Below are 12,205 nucleotides of genomic sequence, written 5' to 3'. Positions count from 1 at the left end.
ACATACGGGTGAAGGATCTACCCTGGAGTTTTTGTGTTGGCATCCCCGTATCCTGGCTGAATTGCTTGCCTCCTTTTGCCCTTCCCAGGTACACAGGGAATCACATGGCTGCATATACTTGACACTGTAGTCACCATGGAGTGATTTATTAGTTATGGGCCACAGCGCTTTTAAAACAATCTCAAGTGCTGAATGGAGAGCTGATCTCATCTAGTGAGCAGCATGTATCTCATGCTGTGAGTTTTAGATTATTTCAAAGAACAGAAGACCCCTCAAAAACTACAAGAAGCAGGATCACATTTGTTAGTTTTAAGACATATTTATGGCATACGGCCGGCCATTTCCTTTATGTCACGTAGGTTTTCACTATTATCAGCCTCCGTATTTCTATGCCAACTTGACCATTGTGAGAAATGACCCTATTTATTGTCTAAAATACTGGAAGTCAAATGGATTTATTTTTGGTAACTTTTACTGAGGTAATGACTTGACATAAAATAAAGACTCTGTTCCAGAGACTGTGAATTACTGCCCACGCAAATTCAACTTTGCAATGCCATTAATATTTTACTGCCACAGTGAACAAAGTTGTTAAATTTAAGTCAAGAATTATTGGTTCCTTTTGGTAGGACGCGTCTGTATTTTTACTCAGCCTCTGTACATTTTATTTTTCCCCACATTTACTAACTTAAAACATGACCTACGTTTATTTTGAGAGTGTAGACCAGCATTGAGAAGGCACATACTCAGAGCGTATTTTTTTCTGATTCAACCTGCTCTTGAGATTCCTTTATAATTTGTGTATTATTTAGAGTAGTGATTTTGATATCCATCATCACTAGCTTAATTTTACTTGCTTTACATAGAATCCCTGCTTTGCTTAGACAGAAAAAACAACTGACAAAAGCATCACATTATTATACTTATTGGGAGAACCATGACATCTTGTTTATGTTAACTAGCAAAAGACATTCATGTGAGGAAGAGAAATATAATGTAGGCATCTTAAAATATAAAGAGAAGTGTTAAGAGACTCCCTGTCATTGGTGAGCATAGTGGGTGTCTATCTTTGAGCTTTGAGAGTTACCACCTGTCAGATGGCACCAGGGACTTTTTGGACCTGGTACCCACTTCATTCCAGGCTCATATTGGCTCTCCCCAACGGGTACCTGTACTGTCACACAGCCCCCGTCCTCATCCTGTAGTGCTCCAAGACTGGGATGCTGTCCAGGCCTGCAGCTTCCTGGATTGCTCTTTCCTTCCAGGTTTGCCAGGTGACCTCTTACCCAACATTCAAACTCGGCTCAAATTTCCCTGAATGCGGGAAGCCTCCCCTGACCTTTCCAGGCAGAGTTAAAAGTGGCTCCGTGTCTAGATGTGTTCAAGGCCCTGTTCATTTGGATCAGGAATCCCAAGGACTTGTCACTGGGGGAATGGCTTTACTGAAAGCCCAAGATTATGGATATGTTAATGCATTTGCTTCTTCATTTTATCCCACTATAAAAGGTGTGACAGAGGATTGCATTTTGAGTTTGGTGGCATGAGATCTAGTCTCTGTTCTGCTGCTAGGGTGAGTAACTTGGGGGAAATGACAACCCCATAAAAGGAGGAATGTTGTCCTCCTCTGCTGTTTATAGATTTCTACATATGAATGAGCTAAAAAGCTGCTTGGGATCTTTTGTTTTTTCTTTTACTTACATTTGAAATAATTATAATTATAGACTCACAAGAGTCTACTTCCACATGAAGAAATTTTATGTACCCTTCACTCAGCTCCCTTAATGGTGACATCTTATACAGTTATATCAAAACCAATTTATTAAAATTGGTACATTGTTGTTAAGTTAGACTATATGGCTTGTTCAGTTTTAATCATTTTGTACACACACTAATGTGTGTGTGTGTGTAGTTCATTGCAATTTAGTCTCACGTATGGTATATGTAACGACCACAATAATCAGGATACAGAATTGTTCCATCAAACAAAAGATCTTCCCTTATGCTGCCCCTTTATAGGTGTACCCATCCCTCCACTGTTCCCTGGCCACTAATAAATACTTGTTTGTTCTCCATCTCTTTAATTTTGTCATTTCCAGAATGTTATATAAATGGAATTATACTATATATAACCTTTTGAGATAATGCCTTGGGATCCATTCAAGTTGTTATAAATAGTTCACTCCTTTTTATTGCTGAATAGTATCCCATAGTATGCACCAGAGCTTATTTAACCATTCACCCATTGAAGGACATTTGGGTTGTTTGCAGTTTGGGACTGTAAAAATAAAGCTGCTAAGAACATTCATGTACAGATTTTTTTGTGAGCACCTAAGTGTTTACTTCTCTGGGATAAACACCCAAGAGTGTAGCTATTAGGTTATGTAAGTGCATGTTTAGTTTTATAAGCAACACCCAACCTGCTTTCCGCAGTGACTATCTATTCTACATTTTCACCAGCAGTATATGAGAGGGATCAGTTTTTTTTAATTTTTTATTGATCATTCTTGGGTGTTTCTCGCAGAGGGGGATTTGGCAGGGTCATAGGACAATAGTGGAGGGAAGGTCAGCAGATAAACAAGTGAACAAAGGTCTCTGGTTTTCCCAGGCAGAGGACCCTGCGGCCTTCCGCAGTGTTTGTGTCCCTGGGTACTTGAGATTAGGGAGTGGTGATGACTCTTAACGAGCATGCTGCCTTCAAGCATCTGTTTAACAAAGCACATCTTGCACCGCCCTTAATCCATTTAACCCTGAGTGGACAGAGGACATGTTTCAGAGAGCACAGGGTTGGGGGTAAGGTCACAGATAACAGGATCCCAAGGCAGAAGAATTTCTCTTAGTACAGAACAAAATGAAGTCTCCCATGTCTACTTCTTTCTACACAGACACGGCAACCATCCGATTTCTCAATCTTTTCCCCACCTTTCCCCCCTTTCTATTCCACAAAGCCGCCATTGTCATCCTGGCCCGTTCTCAATGAGCTGTTGGGCACACCTCCCAGACGGGGTGGTGGCCTGGCAGAGGGGCTCCTCACTTCCCAGTAGGGGCGGCCGGGCAGAGGCGCCCCTCACCTCCCGGACGGGGCGGCTGGCCGGGCAGGGGGCTGACCCCCCCCACCTCCCTCCCGGACGGGGCGGCTGGCCGGGCAGAGGGGCTGAGAGGGATCAGTTTTTAAGGGGAGAGTAATTTAACACTGAGAAGGTCATCTGGTTACAGAACTTAGAATCTTTTAGGATTGGGGAAGGAGAGTACTGGAATCTACCCTTGCCAGAAGATATTAAGAGACTCTTTAAATTGTGTGTTTGTGGTACTGTTTGTCTAACTGAATGTTGTTTTAAGTAAATGAGGCATAAGCTTAGGCTGCCCTCCACCCTCACCCCCGACAGAGTCTCGCTCTGTTGCCCAGGCTGGAGTGCAGTGGCACAATCTTGGCTCACTGCAACCTCTGCCTCCCGGGTTCAAGCAATTCTCCTGCCTCAGCCTCTTGAGTAGCTGGAATTACAGGTGTGCACCACCATGCCCGACTAATTTTTGTATTTTTAGTAGAGATGGGGTTTTACCCTGTAGGCCAGGCTAGTCTCAAACTCTTGACCTCATGATCCACCCACCTTGGCCTCCCAAAGTGCAGGGATTACAGGTGCTAGCCGCCGCACCCAGCCAAGCTTAGGCTTTCTTTACAAAGCACACATACTCATTGGTGATGTAGTATTGGTTTACTTTGTTGTTGTTGTTTTTATTTTTATTTTTATTTTTTTGCTATAAAAATTTAACATTTTATTAAATGAATTTAATTTTTAAGCAAATTCTATGAATGTTCTTCAAAATAAAGAAGTTTTTTTTTATTATTATTATACTTTAAGTTTTAGGGTACATGTGCACAATGTGCAGGTTAGTTACATATGTATACATGTGCCATGCTGGTGTGCTGCACCCATTAACTTGTCATTTAGCATTAGGTATATCTCCTAATGCTATCCCTCCCCCCTCCCCCCACCCCACAACAGTCCCCAGAGTGTGATGTTCCCCTTCCTGTGTCCATGTGTTCTCATTGTTCAGTTCCCACCTATGAGTGAGAACATGCGGTGTTTGGTTTTTTGTCCTTGCGATAGTTTACTGAGAATGATGATTTCCAGTTTCATCCATGTCCCTACAAAGGACATGAACTCATCATTTTTTATGGCCACATAGTATTCCATGGTGTATATGTGCCACATTTTCTTAATCCAGTCTATCATTGTTGGACATTTGGGTTGGTTCCAAGTCTTTGCTATTGTGAATAATGCCGCAATAAACATACGTGTGCATGTGTCTTTATAGCAGCATGATTTATAGTCCTTTGGGTATATACCCAGTAATGGGATGGCTGGGTCAAATGGTATTTCTAGTTCTAGATCCCTGAGGAGTGGCCACACTGACTTCCACAATGGTTGAACTAGTTTACAGTCCCACCAACAGTGTAAAAGTGTTCCTATTTCTCCACATCCTCTCCAGCACCTGTTGTTTCCTGACTTTTTAATGATTGCCATTCTACCTGGTGTGAGATGGTATCTCATTGTGGTTTTGATTTGCATTTCTCTGATGGCCAGTGATGATGAGCATTTTTTTCATGTGTCTTTTGGCTGCATAAATGTCTTCCTTTGAGAAGTGTCTGTTCATATCCTTCGCCCACTTTTTGATGGGGTTGTTTGTTTTTTTCTTGTAAATTTGTTTGAGTTCATTGTAGATTCTGGATATTAGCCCTTTGTCAGATGAGTAGGTTGCAAAAATTTTCTCCCATTTTGTAGGTTGCCTGTTGACTCTGATGGTAGTTTCTTTTGCTGTGCAGAAGCTTTTTAGTTTAATTAGATCCCATTTGTCAATTTTGTCTTTTGTTGCCATTGCTTTTGGTGTTTTGTTGTTGTTGTTTTTAATGTTTTCATTAGCAGACATTCAATGTGAGACTGCTGGTACTAGACACTAAGCGGGGAGCTGATCTAATATGAGGAATTGGAAGTCAGGGAGATGGTGTTTAACTCACCACTCTTACCCATTTTAACTGTAGGTATTTTTGTGAGCTTTACCTTCATCTCTAATGTGGAGATGATAATACCCAATTCTCTGGGCTGCTGTGAGGACTAAGCATGATAAATAAATAAATAGCATGATTCTTGATTATGGTATGCACCCAGAGAGCCTCTGTCCTTGAAGATTTCAATGTTATGCCATTTTGATTAATTTTTATGTTGATTAGAAATAGCTAATATTTTCACTCGTTTTGCAGAAGAGAGAAAATTCCATTGATGATTCTTCAATAATAAGAATAGTGTAGGCCAGGCATGGTGGCTCACACCTGTAATCCCAGCATTTTGGGAGACCAAGGAGGATGGATCACTTGAGCCCAGGAGTTTGAGATCAGCCTAGGCAATATGACGAAGCCCCGTCTCTACAAAAAATTAGTCATGCATGGTGGTGCATGCCTATAGTCCCAGCCACTTGGGAGGCTGAGGTGAGATAATCTCCTGAGACAGGGAGGTCAAGGCTGCAATGAGCCATGATCACGCCACAGTATCCCAGTCTGGGTGACAAGTGAGACCCTGTCTCAAAAAAAAACAAAAAACAAAAAAATAGTGATGATGAGCCTGCCATTTATTGAGAATATATTGAGTGCAGTGCCATGCTTGTTAAGTATGAATTACCTGTCTCACTTAAGCTTTATAGCAGATCTATGACTAGATACTCTTACAATACCTGTTTTTCAGATAAGGAAAACCAAGGCTTAGAGAGTTAAATAACTTGATGAAGGTCACATATCTTGTGAAACTGAAATTGGTAACCCAGTCTGTCTGTCTCTAGTTTTAATCATGTACCTGTATCTATTCCTTAGTATTGATTGCTTCTTCAAAGGCCGTTCTCTGCATGGTATAAATTATAACTGAAGTGACTTTATACTAAGCAACACCAGATACACTGCTGCATTCATTGGGAGACAGCCTGTAAGAAGTACAATTGAGCTTTGTCTACAGGTCAATGGAAGCAACCACACAAACAAAATGACCTTGCGTTTCAGAAAGAAAGACTCTGAATAATTTTGATATTTTTTAAATAGCTGGTTTGGATTTTTGAGAGGCAAGACAATTACTCTAAATGACATGATAGAGAGGGTTTGGGATCATCCTGATGGGGCAGGGGGGGAGCATTGTCTCTGAAAACATATGATTTTCCCGACACACTGTAATTTAATTCACAAAGATATTATAGAAAATAGTGGATATTATAATTACCTGAGAGTAAACTGACTTATCCCTTTATTCATTCATATGTAATTTCAAATTTGGTGAAGCTGTGGGATTTTAGGCTTGTTGTTTTCACAGTGAGGCCTTGGTTAACTCAGTGCTTTAGGGCCATGCTTGAGACTTAGGGCCCTGAAGCATCCTTATGAAAACATCTTTTTGATACATAGTAAACCAAACTCATGTTTATATGAATATCTCATCTAAGTCTGTTATTTAGTTCTTAGCACATGAATAGATTCAAATACAGCCTATGTTTTAAAAGTTTAAGCAGGTTATTGTTAGGAAGGTGGTTAAAAAAACGAATTATATATGAAATGTATCAGTAAACATATTGCTTTAGTGAATGTGGGTTCCTTCAATGAAAAATAAGCAATTAGCTAAGTGGTTTTCTTAAAACACTATGGGCCAGGCACTGCGCTAGACAGTTGATAATACATGATTTTATTTTATCCTTAAAACGGCCTTATGAAGCAGTTAATTATGTTATTCCCATTTTATAAATGAGGAAATGATATTTCACGTCACATGGCCAGTGAGTGGGTAGGCCTCTCTTCACTTATTACACTTCTGCTTCTAAGCTGTGTTCTTTCCTGTATTACACTGGAGGAAGGAGAAAAAGAACTTGTATTTGGTCCTTGACTGGGTGGAATATCCTTTAATGTGGCTGTAAGGACATGGGTAGAATACTCTGGTCAATTCATTTCTTATTTAAATAGTGACAAAGGTATGTCCATGTTAACCATTTCTCACTTATGCTTTATACATAAGGATGGCTTATAGGGAATGTTGCTTTATTATATCACTTAAAATGTTTGGTCAGGCAATAGTGACTCATGCCTTTAATCCCAGTACTTTTGAAGGACAAGTCAGGAGGATCGCTTGAGACCAGGAACTCAGGACCAGCCTGGACGACAAAACAGGATCTCGTCTCTACAAAAAATAAAATAGTCGAGTGTGGTGATGCAGTATTGTAGTCCCAGCTATTTGGGAGGCTGAGGTGGGAGTATCGCTTGAGACCAGGAGTTCAAGGATATAGTGAATGATGATCGCTCCACTGCATTCCAGCCTGGACAACAAAGCAAAACCCTATTTCTAAAAAAAAAAAAAGTTTTTAGTTTCTTAATGATCAGCAAAACTAATACCCTATCCTCATGATACACTTCTGAACTTCTGATTAATAGCTCGTGCCAGGGCAGAGTAATGGGTGTGCCATATAACTATAGACAGTCCTTCTGTTACTTCTAGTTAGATCCCTTTTATCTGGATAGATTCTGTCTGTTAAGATTTAGGATATATTCTTTAGTTTTTAAAGCAGGTTTTTCTTCCTTATGATAGCTGATTCTGGGGATAATGGAAATTAATTTGCCTGCCTTGAGTTATAGCAGAAGAATGTGACAGAAGATAGTTCAAGGCTGTAATGGTTCTGGAATATACAAGTTGCCATGGGTATTACACGGGTTGGTAGTAGAAAATTTATTGAGCAAATAGTTGATACATTGGATAGACTCATTTAGAAAATTATTTCCTCTTTTATGCAGGGGCTAAGAGGTTTCTTGACTTGATAGCTAAAATTCCAGAATCTGTTCTTTGCTTGAATGATTGAAATGACTGGTGTAAACTGCAATCACTTAACTAGACTTTTATTTTGACTTTGAGTCAAAGATGTGTTCATGGTCCTTTTTATAAAGGCCATGAATTTTCATGTTACTTTTTTGTGATATATGTTAAATTTCTTATCCCCGTGTTGGGGTTCAGAAACCCATATCCCCAAATACGGCACTTTGACATGCTGAACTGAAGAAGCCTCAAGGTCTATGTGACCTTCCCCCTTTCTCCTCAGCCACCATCTCTCCCAAACACAGGATGAAGTTAAAGTTCTTTATCTGCCTAAAATCCAGACCCACCAAGGAGATCTTCTCCATCTTATTAGACCAAGATGTAACCACACCTGAATGGACATTTTCCCAAGATAATGTCTGAGTTAATCCCTGCTCCCTGATCCATTCATTCTCCCTCGCAATCCCTTTAACAGAATTCCTCTTCTCTCCCTGCTATTTTGCCAGGAAGGCATAGAAGCTTCTGACTCTAGTTGGGGTTTTGTGGTTCTCCCTGTGTATACATTAATAAAGTTTGTATGCCTTTGCCCTGAGTAATTTGCCTTCTGAGAATTAATTTTTCAGCAGACCTTCAGAGGGGAAGTTTCCCTTGGCGTCTACACCTCATATGAGAAAATTGGAAGTGATCTTGTTCTTGACTACATAATTAGGGAAATATGGGCTTCAGTGTATATTTGATAACTTAAAGATAGTCACTCATAAGATAAAAACAATGTTTCAACTTTCAAAATACTAAAATTAATTAAAGCAGACAAAAAAACTAGTCTTTATAACAACATAGAAGATAAAGTATATAGCACATAAGCATACAACAAAAGGATGAAATAAAAATGACAAATTCAAATATATCATCCTCTCAATAAATGCACTTGGGCTAAACACTAGAGGGTTAAAACTCAGATTGAGCTTTAAGAAATCCAACTAAATACTGTTTATAAGAGGCAGTCTTGGCTGGGCGTGGTGGCTAACGCTTGTAATCCCAGGACTTTAGGAGGCCAAGGTGTGTGGATTGCTTGAGGCCAGGAGTTCATGACCATCCTGGGCAACACAAGAAGACCCCATCTGTATTATTAAAAATAAGAAGAAGAAGAAAAAAGAGACAATCTTAAAACATAATGACCCACCTCTAAAGTAGTCAGATTCAAAGAAACAGAAAGTAGAATGGTGGTTCCTAGAGGTTGGGGGGACAGAGGAAAGAGGAGTTAATGGGTATAGAGTTTCAGTTTTGCAAGATGAAAATGTTCTGGAGATCTCTTTTACAACAATATGAATATACTTAACACTACTGAACTGTACACTTAAAAATGACTAAGATGGTAAATTTTATGTTTTGTTTTTTACCACAATTTTATAAAAATACTAACCATAATGACCCACCAAAATTAAAAATAAAAAGACAGGGTAAGATCTATTAGCAATGGCAAATGAGAATCAAGTATGACAATGTTAATATCAGACAAAGCAGAATCCAAGGGAAAACTTAAATGTGGAAAATATTATCTAATATTGTTTGCAGCATTTTTTTATAGTCAGGAGTAAATGTAAATCAAATACTTATAGAAGTGACTGGAGAAATTGATTTTAATATAGAATTCTATACTATATACTCTGTAATTCAAAAAGAAGAGAGTATCATCTGTGTTTAATAAGAGATCAGATATAATTTTGCACCAGGAAGGTCATGACTTTGATAAGAGCAGTTTCAGCGCATGAGTGGGGTCAAAACCACTGGTCTCTCAAAGAAGAATAAAAGGAAACCAGAAAGGGATTTCATAGACCCTGAATATCTGTATGTTGGTCCATGAGCCTTCCTGCCTAGAGTTATTTTCTTTGCTGTCTGCAAATGAAATCTAATTTTTAAAAGTTAAAAGCATTCAATTTGTTGCTATTCTCTCTCACATTAGAGTGGGGTGAAGATTTCCTGAACAAGGGTGATGAAATAATGTAGGTGGGAAGCCTAGAAGGGAAGGTTTCTGAAAGTTAAAGAAAATTGAACCTAATGCTAAGAGGTCAGTGACCGAGAGAACATAAAGTGGACAAAAGAGAGAAGGAACCTTGCCCCTGTGGATTTGTCTAAAGCTATGTTAAACGTTTTGTTGATGGAGATGGACCTTTGTAAGAAGCACTAGGAGCCTGTGCTCCGCAGAACACATAGGGGAATGTGGGGAATCTAATAACAGGATAGCATCCTGTTACTACTCCCTAGAAGGAAGAAGACTTCTTGGAGATCAGAGTCTTTATCCAAGGATACAGAAAATATCATATCTGGTAGAGAAATACCATGAGACGGGAAGGGGGCATGAGATTTGGAGTCAGGCTGACCAAGTTCAGATCCCAGCACTTCCACATATGAGATGATAAGAGAGTTATTTAGTTTTGCAGTTTTATCATGAGGATATAACATACAAAAATATCTAGCACTGTGTCTGGCATATAGTAGGTACTCAGAAAGTGACACCTGCTAGTTAATAAATGTCTCCTTTATGCTAAGATGACTGAGATCATGGGGTGAATTCCCTTGATGCCAGTCTCGTAGGCTGAATCCTCTGTTCTCAAAGAATGAAAAATTTAAAGGTACTTCCCAATCCCCCTACAGTCAAATGACTGCAGTGACCTAACTTTGATAATTATGTATTTCAGGCCTTGGAATGTCCAACTGTTTCTCCAAATGTTGAATTATTCTAAAATTAGCAAAGACTTGTTGAAGAAGCTCACAAGATCATGGAATCAGGCCTCTGAGGTCATTAATATTCAGTAGATATATTGCTTATGAGCCTGGAAGGAAAGATTTGCAATTTTATATAGTATAATATAGTATTTGCTCTTGGTATCAACCTAAATTCATAAACAGATGTGTATATATCTCTATTTATGTATATTGAAGTCTGTATTGTGAGGGTGAATAATTAGAAGTTGACTTTATGTCAAACCAGGTTTATAGAATTCAGATGTGTCCCCAAAATTTGTCCTCTTCTAGATATGTCCATTTACTTTTAGTATGACTAGTAGGAACATAGGGGTTTTAGTGTCTGATTTTGAGGATATAAACACAAAAAAAGTATTTTTTCTCTTTTGTCTAGATTACTAATCCAGACAATGTAAACCTCACCCAAAATTTGTGAAATTTGAGACCGGATTTCTTTTTCATGGCATTACAACATTATTTTAAAATAGCGCTACTAAACAGTTTTATCAAAAAATTCCAACAAATGACATGTGGCCCAGTGGATGAAAAAAAATTCTGCAATTATTAATAGATGTTTTTACTGTTCAGAGTTTTAGCTGTTATTTGTTTAGTAATGTTGGTGTTTGTATGTAGGCTTTGAGGCAAGGGGACTAATTAGGAATTCTCTGTAATAATTTAAGTGAAGCTTAAATTATTAAAAAGAGCAATCTTGTAATCCCAGCACTTTGGGAGGCCGAGGCGGGCGGATCACTAGGTCAGGAGATCGAGACCATCCTGGCTAACATGGTGAAACCCCGTCTTTACTAAAAATACAAAAGATTAGCCTGTTGTGGTGGTGGGCACCTGTAGTCCCAGCTACTTGGGAGGCTGAGGCAGGAGAATGGTGTGAACCTGGGAGGCGAAGGTTGCAGTGAGCCGAGATCGCGCCACTGCACTCCAGCCTGGGTGACAGAGTGAGACTCCATCTCGGAAAAAAAAAAAAAAGCCATCTACCCATTTATTGAGCACTAAATATACGCCAGGCACTGTGCTTCCTGCCTTTGTATAATCCTTACGGCAGCTGCATGAGATGGGTTCCATTATTATCCCCATTTTATAGATAAGGGAACTGAGACTCAGAAGAATCAGTGAGTTCCCCAAGGCCACAGAAGGGTGGAGCTGGGATGTGAACCCAGGTTTCTGACTTCAGAACTCAGACTTAATAACCACCCGGTTCTGTTTCCTTATGAAAGGGCTGTGTCTCCAATGTTCGTTTAGGGCACAGTTGCTTGGATTTGGCACACATGTTGCCACAGAACCTATATTTCAATCAGTGTTAGACGTTTGGGCCAATATTAATGTGTCAGAGGTGTCTGAGTGCCAACAGCACTGTAGATCTGAAGCCATCCTGAGATGGTGTTGGGCTTTTAACTTTGGCGGGCCAGAACTACTCTTTCCTCAGTGTTGTCTTGCCCTGGACATATTTGCCCTTTATTGTACCCCTTCACCTACTGCCTGGACTGGTGGGGATCTACTGCCACAGTGGGGTGGGGGCAGAGGCTAAAAGCGGCAGGGTGGGGTGGAATGGGGCGGAGGCTTCTATCTGGCAAAGCTTCTGGGATTCTCCATTTATTCAGTTCTCTGTCTTCCTCTGC

At 39.7% G+C, this 12,205-nt stretch overlaps 1 protein-coding gene across 12 annotated transcripts in view, besides 1 other annotated feature; it reads left to right on the top strand.

The window, feature by feature from the left end:
* Positions 1–12,205, top strand: part of DOCK4 (dedicator of cytokinesis 4) — a 480,290-nt gene that overhangs the window by 74,995 nt on the left and 393,090 nt on the right. The window lies entirely within an intron of this gene.
* Positions 2,924–3,559: an enhancer, noted in NCBI's record as "NANOG-H3K27ac hESC enhancer chr7:111767901-111768536 (GRCh37/hg19 assembly coordinates)". NCBI's record gives its function as "activates a minimal SCP1, AML or CMV promoter by ChIP-STARR-seq in primed H9 embryonic stem cells {active_cell/tissue: H9 hESC(primed)}" and the evidence as "EXISTENCE:reporter gene assay evidence [ECO:0000049][PMID:30033119]".

Source organism: Homo sapiens, chromosome 7 (assembly GCF_000001405.40).
Source record: "Homo sapiens chromosome 7, GRCh38.p14 Primary Assembly".
Classification (NCBI taxonomy): Eukaryota; Metazoa; Chordata; class Mammalia; order Primates; family Hominidae; genus Homo; species Homo sapiens.
The sequence above is the reverse complement of the archived record's forward strand: the minus strand, read 5'-3'. Positions and strand labels throughout refer to the sequence as shown.